Source organism: Homo sapiens, chromosome 5 (assembly GCF_000001405.40).
Source record: "Homo sapiens chromosome 5, GRCh38.p14 Primary Assembly".
Taxonomy (NCBI): domain Eukaryota; kingdom Metazoa; phylum Chordata; class Mammalia; order Primates; family Hominidae; genus Homo; species Homo sapiens.
The window spans coordinates 7,892,665-7,915,033 of record NC_000005.10 but is presented as its reverse complement, the minus strand read 5'-3'; the positions used below and the strand labels follow the sequence as shown (position 1 = coordinate 7,915,033).

General features: G+C 38.2%; 1 protein-coding gene and 1 long non-coding RNA gene across 23 annotated transcripts in view; both read right to left on the bottom strand.

Annotated features, from left to right (window-relative positions):
* Positions 1-4,334: 4,334 nt before the first annotated feature.
* On the bottom strand, positions 4,335-11,284 carry LOC124900936 (uncharacterized). Its single transcript, XR_007058683.1, has 2 exons — positions 10,181-11,284; positions 4,335-9,287 (listed from the first exon to the last, which is right to left on the bottom strand). It is a non-coding gene; the product is annotated as an uncharacterized LOC124900936 (long non-coding RNA).
* MTRR (5-methyltetrahydrofolate-homocysteine methyltransferase reductase) overlaps positions 13,921-22,369 on the bottom strand; it is a 50,255-nt gene continuing 41,806 nt past the window's right edge. For all 22 annotated transcript variants that reach the window (NR_157176.2, NR_157178.2, NR_157175.2 and 19 more), the window contains 5 exons: positions 22,121-22,307; positions 19,182-19,300; positions 18,078-18,170; positions 17,787-17,969; positions 13,921-15,120 (listed from right to left, as the gene is read on the bottom strand). Coding sequence is in view for 8 of the 22 variants with exons in the window: in XM_047417233.1 (XP_047273189.1) it covers positions 14,976-15,120; positions 17,787-17,969; positions 18,078-18,170; positions 19,182-19,300; positions 22,121-22,307 (727 nt within the window). In the remaining 14 variants the exon portion in view is untranslated. The remainder of the gene's footprint in view (positions 15,121-17,786; positions 17,970-18,077; positions 18,171-19,181; positions 19,301-22,120; positions 22,308-22,369) is intronic.

The following is a 22,369-nucleotide window of genomic DNA, read 5'->3' as shown; positions in this document are numbered from 1 at the left end:
TTTGTTGGATGGAGGGATGGACGGATGGATGGATGGATACATATGTATATAACACTAAAAACACACAGGTCCAAGCTTTTTAGCTGAAGCTCCCAATAATGTTTCTGTTTGTACAGCTACATGGCTCCTCCTAAGGTGCCTCTGCCTGATTTTCTCCACCCTCAGGAGACTCTTCCCCTGCCCACCCAGCTTTCCCACCCAAGCTGATGCCAAGAGGCTGGAAAAGGTCACCAAGCTGCTCTTTCCCAGCCCCAGTAGAAGGATTCTTTCAAGTGGGGCTGAAAGGCAGCCCATGAGTGGCTTCACTGGATTCAGGTCCACGATTGTAAACTGGAATAAGGGCAGGTGCCATGGGAATGTGAGGGTGCCTCCACCCAACTTTGCCCCCTGGCATTACAGATTTGATTCCTCATTGCCATCAATAGAATGTGCAGATTCCTCCAGATGCTTGGGCGCTGTCCTGGTGCAGGAGTGCGAAGGGTCCCTGTCCATCTCAGAGACACTCCATTAACCTGATCCGTTGGTTGCCTTTATTTTGGTTGATTTGGCAGTCAAACCAGAACATTTTCGATGCAGCCTCAATATCTTGGCCCCATAGCTGTTCCTTCCCAACTTCTCTTGCTAAACAGAAGCTGCTCAAATAAAGACTGATAAACGCCAGAACATCCTTCTTCTAAGAATAATCTTGGACTAACTATTCCAGAAACTAGCTAAACTTAGGCCGACCCACTCGCTAAGGCTCTATAAAATTTCACCTCTCCTTCTCCAAGGCAGAATATTCAGAGGGAGTAGTCTGAAACCTCGGTATCCTGATTAATGGTTTACATTAACCATGCTCTGTGCTCTGGTTGATTTTCCTCCACTGAAGGATGCATCTCCCATATTGAACCTGTTCTGTGTTACACAGGGAAAACTGAGAGACAGGGTTATAATGCAGATTTAATTGACTTGGGACTTTGGCTCAGGTCAGCTCTGAAGCATTGAGGGAGAAATTCCGCCCTATTTAGGTACTATTTAAGTTCTTTTAAGAGAACCAGGTCATTTACTGCTCAGTAGGGGAGTATTTTGAGTTTCTCAGCTACAATACTTTGATTAGACAGCAAGTGGAACTGTAGATCTAATATTCAAGGGAGAAAATGGGCAAGAAGTATTTCCCATTTGCTTTTCCCTTATTTTTTGTATTTCACATTCAGTAACTTTGTCCCATAGAATTTCAACATGTGTTAGTTGTTGGATCTAAAATTATTAAAGCACATCAGTGCATCACTAAGGACCATACTTGGCTGCCTAATCACAGTTTATTCCCAAATCTTACTGGATCAAACCACATTCATCCTCTGGAATTTTCCAGTCTAACTCCAAATGAAACCATCTTGAGTTAATAAGGCAGAAATGCAGGTGAGTGATAATTTGCTACAACTACAGATTAACTATGTGTAGTTGCTATTAAGTACGAGTGCAAATGGGAAAACAATTTGTGTATGTGGCTGATATGGTTTGGCTGTGTCCCCACCCAAATCCCATCTTGAATTGTATCGCCCATAATTCCCACGTGTTGCAGGAGGGACCCAGTGGGAGGCAATTAAATTATGCAGATGCATCTTTCCCATGCTATTCTTGTGATAGTGAATAAGTCTCACAAGATCTGATGGTTTTAAAAAGGGGCATTTCCCTGCACAAGCTCTCTTCTCTTGTCTGCTGCCATGTAAGACATGCCTTTCACCTTCTGCCATGACTGTGAGGCCTCCCCAGGTACGTGAAACTGTGAGTTCAATAAAATTCTTTCTTTTGTAAATCGCCAAGTCTCAAGTATGTCTTTATCACAAGCATGAAAATGGACTAATACAGTAAATTGGTACTGGTAGAGCATGGTGCTGCTGCAAAGAAACCCAAAAATGTGGAAGCAACTTTGGAACTGGGTAGAGGTTGGAACAGTTTCGAGGGCTCAGAAGACAGGAAAATGTGGGAAAGTTTGGAACTCCCTAGAGACTTGTTGAATGGCATTGACCAAAATGCTGATAATGATATGGACAATGAAATCCAGGCTGAGGTGGTCTCAGACAGAGATTAGGAACTTGTTGGGAACTGAAGCAAAGGTGACTCTTGTTATGTTTTAGCAAAGAGACTAGCAGCACTTTGCTCCTGCCCTAAGAGGTTTGTGGAACTTTGAATTTGAGAGAGATGATTCAGGTATCTGGCAGAAGAAATGTCTAAGCAGCAAAGCATTCAAGAGGTGACCTGGGTGCTGTTAAAGGCATTCAGTTTTAAAAGAGCAACAGAGCATAAAAGTTCAGAAAATTTGCAGCCTGACCAATGTGATAGAAAAGAAAATCCCATTTTCTGAGAAGAAATTCAAGCAGGCTGCAGAAATTTGCATATGTAATGAGAAGCCCAATGTTAATCAATGGGGAAGATGTTTCCAGGGCATCTCAGAGACCTTTACAACAGCCCCTCCCATCACAGTCCCAGAGGCCTAGAAGGTAAAAATGGTTTTGTGGGCCCAGGCCCAGGGTCTCTCTGCTGTCTGCAGCCTAAGAACTTGGCGCCCTGCATCCCAGCCACGCCAGTCATGACTAAAAGAGGCCAAGGTACAGCTTGGGCTGTGGCTTCAGAGGGTGTAAGCCCCAAATCTTGGCAGCTTCCACATGGTGTTGAGCCTGTGGGTGCACAGAAGTCAAGAATTAAGGTTTGGGAACCTCTACCTAGTTTTCAGAGGATGTATGAAAATGCCTGAATGTCCGGGAACAAGTTTGCTGCAGTGGCAGGACGTTCATGGAAAACCTCTGCTAGGGCAGTGCAGAAGGGAAATGTGGAGTGAGAGCCCCCACAGAGAGTCCCCACTGGGGTGCTGCCTAGTGGAGCTGTGAGAAGAGGGCTACCATCCTCCAGACCCCAGAATGGTATATCCACCGACAGCTTGCACCATGTGCCTGGAAAAGTCACAGACTCAACCCTCCCATGAAAGCAGCCAGGAGGGAGGCTGTACCCTGTAAAGCCACAGGGGCAGAGCTGCTCAAGACTATGGGAACCCACTTCTTGCATCAGAGTGACCCGGATGTGAGACATGGAGTCAAAGGAGATCATTTTGGAGCTTTAAGATTTGACTACCCTGTTGGATTTCGGACTTGCATGGGGCCTGTAGCCCCTTTGTTTTGGCCAATTTCTCCCATTTGGAATGGCTGCATTTATCCACACCTGTACCCTCATTTTATCTAGGAAGTAACTAACTTGCTTTTGGTTTTACTGGCTCATAGTCAGAAGGGACTTACCTTGTCTCAGATGAGGCTTTGGATGGTAGACTTTTAACAGTGAAATGAGTTAAGACTTTGAGGGACTCTTGGGAAGGCATGATTGGTTTTGAAATGTGAGGACATGAGATTTGGGAGGGGTCAGGGTCGGAATGATATGGTTTGGCTGTGTCCCAACCCAAATCGCATCTTGAAATGTAGCTCCCAGAATTCCCATGTGTTGTGGGAAGGATCCTGTGGGAGGTAATTGAATCATGGGGACGGGTCTTTCCCATGCTATTCTCATGATAGTGAGTAAGTCTCACAAGATCTGATTGTTTTAAAAAGGGGAGTTTCCCTGCATAAGCTCTCTTCTCTTGTCTGCCATCATGTGAGAAGTGCCTTTCACCTTCCACCATGATCATGAGGCCTCCCCAGCCATGTGGAAATGTGAGTCCAATAAACCTCTTTCTTTTGTAAATTGTAAATTGCCCAGTCTGGGGTATGCCTTTATCAGCAGCGTGAAAACAGACTGATACAGCGGCTAAGTCCCTCAGCTGTACTGGGTCTTGTGACAGTAGCTCACATATTTTACAGAGAAACTTCTTACAAAGAAATTACAACTTTCTCACTTCCCCTTGAAAATACTGAAGCAAAAGAAAAACTTAATAACCTACAGATATGTTCTGAAACAAAGGCAGAATTTAACTGCTCTTATACACAATGGAGTCATGATCTTTTGTTAAAGTCATCCACCTGGAAAAATAAAAACATGATTTAGACCTTTTCTGAACCTGTTCTTTGCCTGTTAACCTTTAGAAAATGAATTAAAGCTGTGAAAGGTGCTGAGTTAACTGCTACTGAATAAAGGACCATGGAGACAGATGTCTGCTCTGGAACCATGTGATGAGCTGGGCACTTGCCAGGAGAACTAAAAACACATCAAAATGACCTTGTTGTACATTAAATCCTTCTCCAAAATTCAGAGCACACCCATCAACCTGGTGTTTCTCCAGGAACATTTGTAGAAGTGATAGTAGTAATAGTAATAGCAGTAACAGTAGCATAAATACTCATACATTTTAAATACTTATTTTGTGTCAGATATAGCTTTAAACACTTTTATTAAATAAACTAATGAGCCACTATCAAAATTCCTATCCATTTAGGTTAACATGCCTACCCAATTACAAAGGTTGATAAAGATTTAATAATTTCCTCAAAACGAGGACAATGTTACAAAGGCTGTTAACACCAAATCTGCAAATCAAAGTTCTTGGTTGAACGAGAAGGCCAGCAGACTGGAGATACAGGAAACATTATTAAGCTTTACTCCTTTTTTTGTTTACCCAGAGCCCAGCTCAAAACACAGGAAGGAGTGTTTTCAGAGAAAATGATTTAGTGTGGATACTATTTTGAGTAGCATTTGAAGCCTTAAGCCATACAAGTACTATACATACACACCCACACACACACACATATATATATTTGACATTAAATAAGATAAACATTCAGAAATTAAAATGTAATTCATATATTCCGAAGTACCATCGTATATATTCTAATCTGTTGTGATTAAAAAAGATACTGAAGAGTCTACCTTGCAAAAGGATAAAGGTAGTTTAAGATGACAAACAATCAAGAAAATGTACTATTTTTTTAATGGCAGAAATAGTGAAAGGGAAATGTTCCATTTTCTGACTTCTGCATTTTAACGGAGTAGAAAAATATAGAATGTTAATAAAATGGTAAAATTTTTAAATGTTTTTCTATTATTATTTTTAATGAAATTCTTCCTGTAGCATAATAGAAAGCTCATCACTCAGGACACTGTATTATTTATTATGATGATCCCATGTACTTCCTCTTTCAAAAGTTATGCTTTGGTTCAGCAGTGTTATCCATAACACATTTGAAACCCAAGCAGATAATGGTTTATCACATCCCTTATGTGACAAAATTCTTTTCAGTAGTAATTATGTAATGAAACATATATTAATGATGGTGGAAAATAAACACAGTAAAAATGTTCACAGTCATTAAAAAGCACAGTCAGTAAAACACGGTCAGTAAAAATGTTTACAGTCAGTTAAAAAAAAGTTTTACTGAACCTCATCTATGTATATATCATTCCAGTTAAAAATAAAAAGTAAAATAAGTATTACAACTTAAATGAAAGCTTCCCATTCCAAAATGGTGGTGTAGAAACAAGTTGGCCTCATTACCTCCTCCCCACAGAAACCCAGAAACAAATACACAGTGCCAAGATTATCACCAGTAGTATTCCAGGACTCAGATGAGAATGAGACAGTTCCTGGAATCACAGAGAATTGAACAAATTTTAAGCAGACAGTAAGGGAATCAGACTTCCATATTCATAATGCCCCTCCACCCAATCTGCCCATCACAAAGCATGTGGAAAATTTTCCCTCAACATACAGTCTCTACACTGAAAAAAGTGACATCAAGGTGGACAATCAGCTTCCCCACCATTCAGGGCACCCTAGTAGGAGACCTTTCCCTTTTGCCCACAGAAACTATCAGTAGTGTCTGAAGGGAGAAATATCCCTGAGAACAGCCAGAGACAAAGAGGGAAGGTGGAACTACCATCCCTAGGCCTGAAAATTTTGCTCTGTAATTTGGCCAACTAAAACACTAAATCAGAGTGGCTCTTCAGTAGCATGATGCTGTAAGAGGTTTGTTTCACAGGTCCTCTGGGCATGAACCCCCAGCCTTCTCATACTACTGGGATATCCCCTTTGAAACCTTCTGATTTGAGATAGGTGGTACTCTGATTGCTTACTAGAACCAAGGCAAACTTGGTCTTAAGGTGTCATCTACTGCTGAAAAGGGAGCAGCAACCTAGTAGGGGAAAAAAAGAAAAAATATCAAAAGGTAAATTATAAAGGATCTCTAAGAAAACATATCCAATAAAAAACAAAAATGTCAGAGAAGACTAGAATAAATAACTAATTCTTCAATGAAAAGACACAGATGTACATCCAACAGAAACAATAGCAGAGAACCATGATCTCTCCTAAATGGACAAAGCAAGGAACTGGCAACTGACCCTAATGAAATGGTGATATGTGAACTCTCTGACCAAGAATTCAAAATGGCAGTTTTAAGGAAACTCAGTGATATTCAGGATAACACAGAAAAGCAATTCAGAAACTTATCAGAGAAATTTAACTAAATGATTGAAATAATCATAATAAAAAGTCAAACAGAAATCTTGGAACTGAGAAATTCATTTGCCGAAATGGAAAATTCATTAGAGGCTCTCAGCAGATCAGGTCAAGGAGAAGAAATAATCAATGAGCTCTATGACAGACCATTTGAAAATAAATAGTCAGAAGAGAAAAAATAATGAAAACAAATGAAGATTGGCTACAAGATATAGAAAATTACCTGAAAAGATCAAAACTAATAATTAGTGGTATTCAAGAGGGAGTTGAGCAAGAGCAAGGGATAGAAAGCTTATTCAAAAAAATAATAACAGAAAACTTTCCAAAACTTAAGAAAGGGATAAATATCCAGCTTTAGAAAGGTCAGCAAACGCAAAACAGATTCAATCCAAATACAACTACTCCAAGGCATATAACAATCAAATTATCATAAGCCAAAGAAAAAGAGAGGATCCTAAAAGCAGCAAGACAAAATCAACAATGTACAAAGAAACTCCAATTCATTGGGCAACAGACTTCTTAATGAAAGCTATACAGACCAGGAAACAGTGGGGTGACATTTTCAAAGTTCTGAAAGAAAAAACGCTTCCATTCAAGAATACTGTATCCAGCAAAGCAATCCTTCAAATATGAATGAGATATCTCAAACAAAAGCTGAGAGAATTCACCAAGAGACCCATCTTACAAGAAATGCTAAAAGGTGTTCTTCAATCTAAAATAAATAAAAACACTTCAGTGAAAAAAGAAAACATTTGGAAGTATAACACACACTGATAGAATTAAGTACACGGAAAACCAAGAATATGCTAACACTGCAATTATGGTGAGCAATCCATTCATAATTCTAGTATGAAGAAAGAAAGACAAGTCTATCAAAACAATAATAGATACAGCAACCTGTTAAGAAATAGGCAGTATAAAAATATGAAAATTGAGACAATATAAAGTCAAAACTGGGGGATGAAGTATATAGGCTTTTTTCATTTTTTCTATTCTTTTCTGTGTGATCTAAGATAAGTTTTCACCTCTTTGAAATAAATTTTTACATGTATAAGTTGGTTTTTGTAAGCCACATAGTAACTACAATGCAAAATCTATAATAGATTCATAAAAATAAAAACACTGGCATGTAGAGGTCCAGAATAGACCCCAAAAGTCCAGAATAGCCACAAAAAAAGTATCAACAAATTCAAAAATGTATAAATCATACCAAGTATCTTTTCAGACCACAATAGGATAAAACTAAAAATTAATAGCAAAAGAAACTTTGGAAAGCACACAAACGCATGGAAATTAAACAACACGGTTCTGAATGACCAATGGGTCTATGAAGAAATTAAGAAGGAAATTAAAAAAATATTGCATAGCCTCACTCATATGTGGGAGCTAAAAAAAAGTGGATCTCATGAAGATATAGAGTAGATTGGTGATTACTGGAGGCTGGGAAGGGTAGAGGGAAGGGGAGGATGAAGAAAGGTTTGACTAATGGGGACAAATATACAATTTGTTAGAATAAATAAAACCTAGTGATTGATAGATCAGTAGGGTTAGCATAGTTTACAATCATCTATTAAATATTTCAAAATAGTCAGAAGGGAATAATTTGAATGTTTCTAGCATAAAGAAAAGACCAATATTTAAGGTGATGGGTATTCTAGTTACAGTGATTTTATCTTTACAAATTATATAAAGGTATTAAATTAGCAGATATACCCTCAAAATTTATATTTATTGGGATAAATTTAAAAAATTTTAAAGACAAAAAGCGATAAATTCTTTTTAATTGCACTAATGTGTTTTTTGGGAAAACAAGGGAAACTTACACCTACATATTGGTCTTAAACCACTGCGAATTATATTATAGTATCTGCTTTTGATCTGTAACTTCTGCATATTTACAAAAATTAATTTTTGTATATTCACATTCTATGGATATTTAAGAGAATTTATCAGCTTTCTTCACTCGAATTGAAAAACTTCTTAAATTTTAATTTTGAAAAGTTTTTTTCATGTGGAGTCATAGATGTATGAAGACTTGGAAAAAGTCTTAAGTACGAGGATGAGTTTTTCAGAGATTCATAAAAATCACATTTTACAATAAGCTCCAGAAATTGAAATACTGTTCATGTTTTTCTTTCTTCAGGATGGATTATAATAGTTTTCAAACATCTCTGCAATAGAAGAAATTCCCCTAAGATATTTTCACCAGAAAATTCATCATAAGTTTCTATTACACTGGGTGAAAGCTTCTAAAGTTTTTCTTCTCTGCTAAAAGAATATGAGAAAATGGGCTAAACATTAAGGAACTTGAGAATGCTTAATCCACCGCTTTACAAGTATCTAGTTCCTGGTGGAAATAATCAAAATATTCAACACACCCTGCAATTCCTTCTGCTGCTGCAAGGCCAGCAGTTGTTGTTCTTTTCCCTAATATTCTTCCCAGAAATTTCTTTTTTTTTTCTGTCTAAATGTCATTGACCTTTTTGTTGTTGTTACATAGTTAATAATTTTCTACACAATTTTTGTGTGCTGCTCTTCAAGGAACAATTTTAAAGCTTGAGTTTCACTACATCACTTTTAGAGTTGATTTTGACTGTTTGCAAATATTTTTATATCTGACTTACTTGATTTACAATTTCATACCAGAAAAGAAGATAACTCAAAAAAAAAATGCAGCAGAGGAGGAAATCTGAGAAGAAACTCTTGTGTCCACATTAACTTTCAGAATTCACTGCCCTTGAAGTTGAGACAGACTTTCCAACATTTGTCTGTAGTGCATGAAAAGCTTCACAGTGAGCAAATCATAACATCAGGAACAGTCTTTTCACAGTTATAACTATATTCTGAAGCATTTTTCATCTATGAGGTGAGACTGAAAGAAATAAATGTTTTCCAAATGTTTAAACAAAAGTCATCATGAGGAAAAATTCAAGTGGTCACACACACAATAACAGAACTAAAGTAACTCCATTTGTATTTCTTCGTGTTGTTTATAATTTCTATGCTATCATTTTAATTTTGAATCTACTGTTTAAATGCACAGGGACTGGAGACATGGACTGCACCAAAGCAAACTCTAACAATGCTGAACTCTTCAAAAAGGTCTCTCAAAAACAAATCCATGAACTCTCATTCCTTGTTCATGGGAATGTAAAATGAGACAGCTACTTTAGAAAACAGTTTGACAGTTTCTTAGAAATTAAAAGAAAAACTTAGCATACGACCCAAAAATCCCACTCTGATGTATTTATCCAAGTAAATTAAAAACTTATATTCATGCAGAAATATGTATGCAAATGTTTACAGCAGCTTAATCATAATTGTCATAAACTGGAGGCAACCAAGATTTCCCTCAATAAACGAATGGATAAATAAACCACTGTACATCCATACAACAGAATAGTACTGAGCAATAAAAAGGAACCAGATATCAATTCACACAACAACATGGGTTAACCTTAAATATATTTCACTAAGTGAAATAAGTCTGACCCAAAAAGCTCAATGTTGTGTAATTCCAGTTGTATCACACAGTCTGGAAAAGGCAAAACTATAAGCATGGAAAATAGCTAAGTGGTTGTCAGGGGTTCTCTGATAAAAGGAATTGTGACTTACTGGAGAAATGGTTCATTCTTAACACTGGGATAGGTAAAAATCAAGGGCAACCTGGAGCATTTTAGACTACCAAAAAAAACGAAGTGCTGAAACAGTGAAACAAATGATACATATTCCAAGACATCATGTATAAACAGCACTCATACATACGTGAAACTTTAAAAAACAGGAATAGTTCTGCAACTGCAAAGCCTTTAAGATTCTGGCCCAGCCAAGGATGTCAGATCTCACTGTCATCAGCGCTTCTTTGTCTCCCTTTCCATTCTCCTTAGTAAAATGGCTTGGCCCTCCTCCCCAACAAAAAAGGAGAGCATGGCAAAGGAACACAACAGTCACCCTGAGAGACGTCACATATGATCATTTGAGCAATAAAATAAGTAATACAGTATTATATTATAACCCAAAGTATTAAATAAATATCCATGAGTCCATACTTCCAGAAATACATGATAAAATAAGTAACTAAATTGGGAGAAGGAACAGCTTTTCCTTGCAAAAGAATTACAAATTATACATGTAGATAGTAACCCCTCCAGGAGGTGGAGCTTAATTTCTCTTCCTTTGAATGTAGGCTGAACTTAGTGACTCATTTCCAAACAATGTCATATGAAAAGGGAAAAAGAGTAACCTTATAGTAGAGAAACTGGCACATACCATCTTACCAAAGAGATCAGGGTTGAGATCCCTAGTGATTAATCATATTATACCATATACTCCATGATATGAAACGATGAGAAAAAAAAAAAACTGCTAGTGTGCTCTCCTCAAAACCCAGAAACCCAGTGTAATTGTGCGTTTAAACCTCAGACAAACCCAAATTGAGGAACCTCCTACAAAATACCTGACCAGGGGCCTTCAAGGTCATGAAAAACAACAAAAGATGAGAAACTGTCACAGACTGGAGAAGACTCAGGAGGCAAAAAACGAAATGCAATGTGATGTCCTGGATGAAATTCTGGAATGGAAAAATGTTGGTGGGAAAAGTCAAGTCGGAATAAAGCCTGTGGTTTAAGTTTTAAAAATGGGCATGTGCACAGCTTCCTAAGCACACAGCGGGTGCTCACTTCCCAAGGGTAAGGGAGGCACTGAGTGTGCGGGCAGCCCACCCTAAGGAAAGAATCGTGGGAAAAGTGCCATCCTATAAAGTCCTAGCATCACTGTTAAACAGGGCACTTGATCTTGGTGCCAGCTTGGGTCTCTTCCAAGCATTCTCTCCTTTCCTTTCTTCCCTGCTCTACAGCCTTTTAAATAAACTTCCACTCCTGCTCTGAAACTTGCCTTGGTCTTTTTCTGCCTTATGCCCCTCAGTTGAATTCTTTCTTTAGAGGCAAGAATTGAGGTTGCTGCAGACCCATACAGATTCACTGCTGGTAACTCAAATACCTTCCACTGTTAACACTGACCAAATGGATTTGTATTCACAGTAAAAGCCAAAATCCTATGACGATCTGAAACCATTATCAGACCTCCCCATTTCTCTCCTGTCGTCATCACTTACTAGTTTCCCCCTTTGTCACTGCTCAATATCCAATGCCCTTCTTGCTGTTCCAACTTGTCTGGCAGTTCTCTCACAGGCGTTTGAACTAGAGTGACTCCATCTTGAATGGGGCAAGGCAAAATGAGGCTGAGGCCTACTGGGCTGCATTCCCAGGAGGTTAGGCATTCTTAATCACAGGATGATAGGAGGGCAGCAGGACTGGTATCACAAGATACAGGTTGTAAAGACTCTGCTGATAAAACAGGACGCTGTAAATAAGCCAGCCAAAACCTGCCAAAGTCAAGATGGCAACAAGTGACCTCTGGTAGTCCTTACTGCTCATCATACGCTAATTATAATGGATTAGCAGCACCATGACAGTTTACAAATGCCATGGCAACATCCAGAAGTTACCCTATAAGGTCTACAAGTGGGAGGAACCCTCAGTTCTGGGGAAATCCCCCCGTCTTCTTGGGAAAACTCATGAATAATCCACCCTAGCATATTATCAAGAAATAGCCGCAAAAATAGCCAACCAGCAGCCCTTGGAGCTGCCCTCTGTAGTTGCCATTCTTTTGTTTCTTTACTTCTCTAATAAACTTGTTTTCACTTTATGGATTCGTCCCAAACTCTTTCTTGTGTGAGATCCAAAAACTCTCTCCTGGGGTCTGGATTAAGACACATTTCCTGTAACCATTCTATCTCAGGGCCTTCGTTCTGACTCTTCCCTCCACAAGATACTCATGATGGCTGGCTCTTTTGTCTTTTTCAAGTGTTTACCTTCAGAGACTCCCTGAGTATGAAGTCACACCAACCCTACAAGACTGCAGGCCACACATCCCATTTACTCTGACTTGTCATCCTCCATAGCCTTTATCACCTTCTCAGACCCCATGCAATTCACGGATTTTTTATTTTATGTCTCTCCTCAATGTAAAGCTCCCTGAAAACAATGGTGTTTTAACTATTTTGGTCACTGGGTGCACAGTACTTTGTGAAATAGATGAATCCTCCCCCTGGGTATTGTTTCGCCTGAATTCCATGTGCACATTTAATAATTTAAGCTATGAATCATCTGCATGTGTTTAAAATGTTTCACTGTGGCCTTTGTGGGTTTTTTTGCAGTTGGTTTTTTATTAGAGTCAGTGAACAACGCTTTATTTCATGTAATTTGCTGAGTTTTCCTTTATGGCTTAGTTCATGGTCAATGTTTTAAAATGGTTCAAGTGTATTTGAAATCAACATGGGTGCCCAGTTTGTTGGGTGTAGCATATATGTCATATAGTTTGCAGTGAAATCCAAATTCTTTTTTTTTCCGGTAGTTTATGACTCAATAGAATGATTGTTTCAGTACAACAGTGTAACTCACTTTAGAATAATCCACAAACACTGTATAAGTCTGAAGCACAGAAAGGAACCCTCTAGATGCAGTGAGCATTCTAATCAGAAATGTCACATTGCAGAACTGCCTACTACAAGCTCTTTTGTTAATTTTATCACTGATCAGTATGAAGACTGGCTATTAAAAATAATGAGCGCTACAGTGGCTTGTTAGAATAGCAGGTTAGAAAAGGTCCCTCACTGCTAACTACTCCCTACTCCTACATAAGCAAGGTGAAAGACTTTATCTAGCAAGGCCCTAGGGTGATGCCTGAGGCTTAACTCTGAAATAGCATGTCCAGTCACTAGGTTAGAGGATGGTTCACAGTAAGGACAAAATTTTGCCCCTGGAGCAGTCACATCCACGTTGTGACGCACCTTGAGTAAACTCTTCCTGCGAGATGTGGTGGAGTGCCTAAAGAGACAGCTGGAACTTCATTAGGCTTAGAAACTAGGATAGTAGAGCTGTTTTGTGCCTGATTACTAATAAATCATAGATAATAATAAATAATAAAAATAACTAGTAAATAGATAATAAATACATATCTGTATGTACAGCAGCATTTATCATGAAATGTATTTTCACTATCACTAGCTCGTAAGTCTGCGGGGAGCAGCTGAACGATACCCACCTAAAACTTAGATAATCCAGCAGTTTCTAGACATAACTTGGATGCTGTGTATAAGCAAATTGGCTTAGGTCAGTTTCCAACACCAAGTTATGATTGACTATTTGTCAGTTTCTTTTTATAGATAAAAGTTTTGGGTCATGTAATTATAGACAGTATTGGTAGGTGGACACAAGTTCTTGATTGTTGTATCTTATTAATAAGGAATATTTTTGTCTCTTTTAATGTTTTCACCTTAAGTGTATCTTGGCTGATACATACAACTTACACATGTAATTATGTATGTTACATAGTACTTGCTTAGTATATTTTCCTATCCCATATTTTTAGATTGGTTTCTATTATAAAATATATAATAATGAAGAGATTACACAGCCACAAAAACTTACCAAGTTTTAAGATTATGCCATTTCTTTCAGATCTTTATTTCTCAAAAGGATCAAAAGCCTTCAACAGAGATGTTTTAAATCCCAAGCTATCAAATAAAAATACAATATATATTAGAACAGTGGAGAAAGATTATCATAACATTTTGTTTTGTTTGTGCAAATTATAACAGGGAATTAGACACTGGGAATCTAAAAATCCAAGGATACTAACTAAAGTCAGTATTTTAGGTCCAGCACACTGCTTGAGTGGTATCATGGAGACAAATAATGTGGGAAAACTCAAAAATGTGCCAAGCAGCAGAAATAAAAGGAGTGAAAATAAAAAGGTTGTATCTTTCTATTAAAATATGTACGTACTGGTACCTGTAAATTGAATGCAAATGTCCCAAAATTCTGAAATTGTGACTTAAAAAAAAGTAATGGTGATAGATAAATCATATGCCAGAGTGAAATTTTAAAATACATTTCATATTTCCAGCATCATAAAAATAAATCCCTCTGTAGGCAATTATCCTAAAATATTTTTTATCAGAAATATAGCTTTAGTAACAAATAACCATTTGATAGTTACATAAACATATAACAGATATGCTCTACATGTGTAATTTAAGTACATTAATATGAGCATTCTTTATGGGTATACATCATATAAAAATAAATCATTTTCATACTTTTTTAAATGTTGGCACTGTAAGTCACAAGAATGAGCTACTCAGTCAGTCTCCCTATTTCAGGAAGCCTTTGCATGGAAGGACAGAGTCTCTGTGAAGTTCTCTGGGAAGTAAAGGAGGCGCTGATAGGGACTGAAGGCTGCCTTAGCTCAGAAGAGCTCAAGGCAACAGGGCAATTTGGGGAGAGTCACAGGCACAGGAAGGGCGTAGATAGAAGATACGTAAAATCAAATCAGGAAGTTTTGTTATATTGTTAAATGATCCAATCTCCACTCCATGTCCTTCAAGAAATGTTGAAAGAAAATTTTCTTTTGAAAATTTAAAGGTTTGGCACTAGTAAAGCTGACTTTTAGTACTTTCAGTCAAAAAAGCTTAATCCTCTTTCTTTAATTTCTGGTTTTATGACCAAATATCCTGAAGGTAGCGTTTTTCTTCTTTTAAAGTGGCCAGGGTTTTCATTGCTTCTAGTTTTTCAACTCCAACCTCTTTGCTTATTATTTGCACAAGGGCATCATGTACATCCTTGGCCATATTCTTTGCATCTCTAGAAAAGAAAATAATAAGATGACTGCTTACAAACAGGCATTTTTAGTAAATCCTCCTTAATTCACAAGTCTAATTCCTTTTGACTGTACCACCATAGTTCTTCCCTCCGTCTTCTCAGAACATCTCACACAGATCTCCCAGCCTCACTCATGCCCAGGCCAGGCCTTTGCCTACAGTGACTGTTCTAGGAGACAGAGCTGACCACACGGTTCTACAGCTCCCAATCCTCCACAGGCTCCAGGTCCCGACAGTAGGCCAAGGATTTCCTAGGTGTCAGAGAAGCATCTGAGGTCCTGCCTGGCTCCGACCCACCTGCTGGCTCACCCCTCATTCCCTGCCCTCCACTCTCAAAGCACACAGTAGACTCGTGCTCCTGAAGGGAACCAGATCTCTCGCACACTTCTAGGTCTTTATACACATACAGTTAGTAACAGACACCTTTATTGAGGACTTACTATGTGCCAGGTCCTTTTGAAGTGCTTCTACATCTTAACTCTTCAATTTACAAGAAGGGGGCGGTACCCCTCCTGGGTGCTCTTGCAGTCCTCTCTGGAACACTTCCGACGTTAGAAACGTCTGTTTATATGTAGCTTTCTCACCAGGGAGTAAGTTGTTTGAGGGTAGGAAGTGTAACTCACTTATCCTCTGATCCAGTTTGGATGTGTGCCCTCTCCAAATCTTTATGTTAAAATGTGGTTCCCAGTGTTAGAAGTGGGGCTTGGTGGGAGGCGTCTGGGTCATGGGGGCAGATGCCTCATGAATGGCTTGATGTTATGCTCGCTGTAATGAGTGAGTTCTCCCTCTGAGTTCCTGAGAGATCTGGCTATTTGAGTGTGTGGCACCTCCCCCTGCCTCTTGCTCCCTCTCTTGCCGTGTGAGGTGCCTGCTCCCCCTTTGCCTTCTGTCAGAGTGGAAGCTTCCTGGGGTCTTCACCAGAAGCAGGTGCCGGCACCATGTTTCCTCTACAGCCTAAACCGTGAGCCCATTAAATCTCTTTTCTTTAGTCTCAGGTATTCCTCAACAGAAAAACTAATATATCCTCGTATCTATCGACATCTGAATATGCCCCAAGCACTTAGCCAGCACTCAGGTGTTTGCTGAATGAAGCGAAGTGTCAGACAAGACTCTACTATGTTAGGAACTGAACATGTCCTGGCCCCTCACAGTGAAATTTCTTGAGAGGTGTCTGTCTCACCTGTCTCAAGAGGCTCTCCTCTCCACTATTCTCAGGGAACTTATACCCCAAGATCCTGCTCCGCTGTCTTCTCATTTGACTCATCAGCAGTACAGGCTCCCTCTCTGAAACAGCACCCTCTTGGCTTTGGGACAATTTTGCTTCTTCAGTGGCTGTTCCTTCTGTCTACTTTGTTCCTGCTTCCCTGACGGACGATCAATGTTCAAGTGCCCCAGGGTTTCCTTCTGAGCCCTCTGACCACTGCTATTAATGCTTCCAAGTGCATTTCACAAATGTGACAAAGTAAAGCACCAGTGATTGGGAGGAGCTATTTCTGGAATAATGTTTTAGGAGTCTGGACATTTAAGATATTCTCCAAGTTCTCAATGACCAGATATCTGTGATCTGTACAATGAACTCTGCCTCTACTATTTAGAGGTGCATCTCTAAAACTCCAGCCTGTATTTGACCACCGATGACACTGTCCTCGCCAAACAAAATGCAGATTAAATACTTCATTAAAAGCGAAGGAAAATGTAAACCAAAACAATGTCTAGAATTTCTGCCCTTTATTGACCTAAAGCAATGTTTTTCAATTAGGAGTCAAAATCTATTGAAAGGACATGAAATTAACTTAGTAGCCAAAGCTAGCTTTTAAAGCAAACTAAATAAAATGGAAGAGAAATGATCAGAATGTGTTATAAAAACTAAACAGAAAACGTTGCTTTGTTTCATGAAACTTGTTTCAATTATCTTTATCCATATGTTCTGGGTCACGATGCCAGTATTTTGTCTTCTACATTACAGTTGAAAAAAAAAAGAACCTGACTTAGAGAATGTGTTAAATCCTAGGAATGTGTTTGGATGAAAAAGTGAATTTCTTACTTCAAAACTCCTTTTTAACTAGCAGAAATTTTTTGAGTCTTATCAAAATAAGCAAATAAGCGTTAAACAATTTTTCTATGGCAATTATGGGTTCCTGTAACAGATCTTGCCTCAGAAAGTAGATCAAATTCAGTAACACAGAACGTTTCAACTTTATCACCAAGAATTATGCCTAGCAGAAAAAGAATCCTAGTATCCACATTCTCAGCATCAAAAATCATACTTTTTCTTTCTTACTTATCAATAGTTCACAACAGCACAAATCACCTATTCTTATATATAACAAAATCAATCTGGAGATTTCAAGTCACATGATTAATGTAGTAACATGAGTGTAATTTTCAGAGGCTAAAAACAGGTAAGTAAATGGTACCAAGAATGTACAATGCAAGCATTAACTTTCACCACTATTTCCCTGATAATAACAACCTCTGGGCTATTAAATATGTCAAAATCATTTCAGAACTGTTATTTCTATTCCTGTACTTAAGAATCAAATGTCTTATCCCTACATATCTAGATTATTGGCTTCTCGGTCCTTTTTTTCTTCTACAGACATCACTGATGGCCCTCTCCTACCCGACTTAGGCACGATAATGACTCACCCACACACATAAATATGGCCGTTCTCCTGGAGGAGGATTCTCGCCACCTGCTGGCCATGAAGCTGGATGTTGTCTTGCACATACTTTGCTGGGGCTTCCTCCTCCCCAACAGGAGCATCTCTTGAGAAGGAAACCTTTAGATGAGTTAAGATCCCATGCTTAAGGAAATGTCTGAGCTCTTTTCTGAAATATAATATATAATGGATCACTAAAAGGTTGTCAAGCTGAAAAAGTCTGAGAATTAGAATTGTACACTCAGTGGTTGAGTACAATACTGGAATTGTACAATACCTGAATAGATAATCCCTATCCTTATGCCTGCAGCCAAAAAACAACCACATTGCTCCAAAATTTCCATCTGGGTGTTGTTCTTGGAGTTTCTCTCTAAGTGGAAAAAAAAAAAGTTTAGGTGTGTGATATAAAGAATATGTAAAACCAATCTCTTTCATTAGGAACTACCACCAACAAACTCAGACGGATTTGTAAAATCCATCTCTGCATTTGAACATTCAGTCATTTAATTAGCATTTTACTCTCCACAGGCTGTCATGGCCACTCGAGCAGATGCCACACTAGGCAAGTGTGTGGAGAGGCAGCTACATCCGACATACACAAAATGAGGACAATTCAAAGTATCACACTGTGAGATCTAGAGAGAGCTCTACATTCAATAACATTAATAGCAATTTTATGAATAAATGAACTTGTACTATGGAAAAGTGGCTCAGGGCTGTTAAAGGCAGAATGTGTAAAGTGTCTACGAAATGGTGAACACACTGATGAGACAGAGACATCTGTGATTATGCTTTTGCTTAAGGAAAAAATTAAAACGAAATAAAATAACTGTCCGAAGGACAGGACTCTACTATCTGACAAATAGTATCTAAGACTTGCTCATTACTTCACAAATATAAACAGAAGTACAATTTTATTTTACTTATTTCATATCAAATACTTCTGTTCTGATATGAAGTTAAACTTATTAACATTCTGTTGAAAATTACTGATGTTTGAGTTTAATGTTGAAACTTTTACTAAAATTGGATCTCTGTCACTACCAATTGTATCCAATTAAGGGATAGATACAACAGCTGTATATCATCACAGTACGAAGGTATGCCCAATATTTGTCCCCAACCACATATGCTACAAACCAGTGTAGCTGAGAAAAGAAAAAACTAAAAGTGCCACAGTAAAAAAGGAAGTTCTAGTACAAAGCACAATCTCTACAACATTGTGTTTACTTTTCCCATGGTGACAAATTATGTTATCGCACATTGAATAATAATTTTTTAAATAAAAATTTTACAAAGTCCAATTATCCTCAAAATGACTAAAGAAACAAAAACGGTTACTCAGGAATACATTTTCCCATTAGCCAAAAAAAGAACATACCTATGTTGTAGGAACCCAATAAACGGGGCTATGCCGGTTCCTGGACCCACCATTATGATGGGGATTGAGGGGTCATCTGGTAAGTGGAAAGAATTTGTTGTTCGAGGAGAGATGGATATCTGAAATATTACATCAAATGTGGTAAGTATGAAAGAAAACCTAGGCAAGAGTATATAATCAAGATGATCTTTGCTAAACAAATCAGAAAGGGAAAATTCCCATCAAAGAAACATCACTAAATAGTGGCATCAGATTTTATTGAAACCATGAGCACATTTGTCACTACAGAAAGAAGTTTGTCTTGCAAATTTTTCTTTTCTATTCAAATAAAAAATGTTGTAAAAAATGATAGGCATGGTGTCTTTGAGGTAGAACTCTAAATAGATAATCAAATCATGTTTCTTGGTCTATGGATAAGATCTGCTTTCTGGTGGGCAGACAATAGCATATATTATGGAGAAATGTACCCTAAATATGAAGACAATAAAGATTAGCATCACGATGAGGTTGAAAAATTTTAAATAAAAGTCAGGCACCTTAAAAAGAAATTGAGGGGCTGCTCCAAATATTCCAGATAATGGTGCTGTATTTGCTATTCTGGGTCCAATATTACCCAGAATTATTTTTGTTATAACTAAACAAATCATATAATTATCAAAATCTTTTTGTTAAAATTTCAAAAGATATTTCTGAATCAATCTGAGTATGTTTCACTTCCAGTTTCACTGTCATATGCAAAAGTCATACTGATACCAAGATTTAAGAATGACAGGATTCCCCTCCACCTTGCATGGTGGTGTAACTGTATACATTTTAACTTTTAACTCAAGGACGACTGTAGGAAGTAATGACGAGCCTGAACACCATACCTTTTAAATGAAGGAATGGCAAAGCTGTGTCTCATTACTGCTCTTACTTGGGAATGAAACTAGTTAACATTACATTAGCCTTCTTTGCTTCATTCATTTAACAGATTTACTGAAAGTATTCACCATGACAGGCATTAAGGATACAGAAATGAACAAAACAACGCCCCTGTCTTTACGGAACTTACATTCTAGTGGAAGGAAAAGAAAATAAACATACACATTATCACATATATCCACAGAATGATGGGTAATGACTTCCCAATGTCTTAGGAAGCAAAATTACACAGGATAAGGAAATGATGGGTGTGGCAGTGAGCTGCTAATTCAAACACCAATGTCAAAGAAGGCCCATGTCTACAATGAGACCTTTGACCACGATCTGAATCAAGGGAGTTAGCCATGCCAGAGCATATTCCTGGCAGAAAAGAAAAACACATGTACAAAGATCCTGTGACAACAGCACACTTTCTACGTTCTGGGGCTCTCTTCCTCGAAGGCTGTGGGACTGCTTCACTTGAGGGTCTATGTGGAGAGAATATCATGGCAGATAGGAAGAAGAGAGCCAAGCTACACCACGCCCACAGGCTTAGTGCTCCTGCTTAGATGTGGCAGATGTCCTTCTGTTCACACAGCCAGGCTGAACATCAGTGGCAGGGTTAATCTGTGAATAACTGTACTATCCGCCATAGTAGGGCAGGGTGGGTGATAGGTCTTGCAAAAGTCAACATTCTGTATAATTTGTAATAAAACACAACACAAGCACAGGTAATTTCAGATAGTTTTAAATTATATCCTTCATATCTGCACTTCTACTGCATATAGATTGGATAGTTAATAAAAATCTGTTAAAATGGGGAAGGAAGGACGAAGAGAGGGAGGGAGGAAAGGAGGAGTAGGTGAAAGGCACCCATGTTTAGTGTTTACGATACATGATGGACACACATTGTTTTTAATGTTCTGGAGATCATCTGCTATCTTTATACAATCACCAAGTGACATATACTTGTATATCAGTACTATAATATTTCTTCTCAAAAAAGAAAGTTTCTGTAAGGTTCCTAATATTTTGATGTATAATGAATACATGATGTATAGAGAACACAATAAAGCATCTCTCTGTTCCAGGCAGCAGACTGGAAAAACATCAAGTTAAACGGCAATTTCAAGCAGCAATCATCCCTTATCCTCTCAAGTATATCCCAAGAAGTCCTAATCCCCACTATTGAGGTCTATGAACCTTTCAACTCTAATAAAGAAACCAAACTTCTCCTAAGACAACACTCCAAGTGAATCACTGATTTCTTCATTACTATGAAGAAAGAGGACTTCATGATAAAGCCTGAAATGTTGCTTTATTTCAACCATTCTTGTGGACAACTTTAAACTGTTGCCTACACACGTGGTCTCGAAATTCTGCTGAGTGCCGTATCAAAACATAAAAAGATGTCACTGAGTCCAAGTGTAAAGTGTCCACAATCTGTTGAGAAAATCACATAACCTTTTACTCCTAGGTGTTGTAAAAGTATTTACAGCCATATGTCTTCTCAATAATGGCACAAGTTCAGATGTCAGACACCACAGATAACAAAAGCAGAAAAACAGGGATGCGGGGACCCTACTAGCCAAAATTGGACAATATAAAATTAATCTTTAGTTGCCCTCAGACTCCCAATGTAAAACTACTTATTTGAGAGGCAGTATACATCTTAAACATAAAATGAGACTGTCTCTCATCACCCCCCTTAAATACTTCCTAGACAGTTCTCCACCCCTCCCCAGGCCAATGTACCAAGAATATCAACATAAAAGGTCTTCTTTTCCATGAATAGGACAAGCAAAGACCGTACTATATAAAATTCATGCTTTATACATTCAGAAAATACACACACTAGTTAAAGAGTACATGGAAGTAAACAGTTTTCTGCTCTTGCAATAGAGATTTTAAAATTCAAGAACAGCATAAATTTTCTTATGACAGTAATGAATGATGTGGGTGAGACAACACTGTTTTTTCTAATGAAACAAAGAGTATGAGTTAACAATGCTGAGGTTAAGGTACTAATTTCTTACCTTAGGAGCCAGGGCTTTCCCGCTGTCTTCATGGGATGCATGTATGTTTGGCTGAAGAACTGAAGCAACCAACAAGGCCAGCCAGCCTGTACATACTCCCTTCCGCAGAACCTCTGTTGTGGCAGTAGACAGAAATTCCACAATGTTGAAGACAAAATGGAGCTTTCCTGGGTGAAATAAACTTGAGCTGCAAAGATACACAGACAAGTTTTGAACTCGATATCAGTACTACTACACATATGGGTCAAA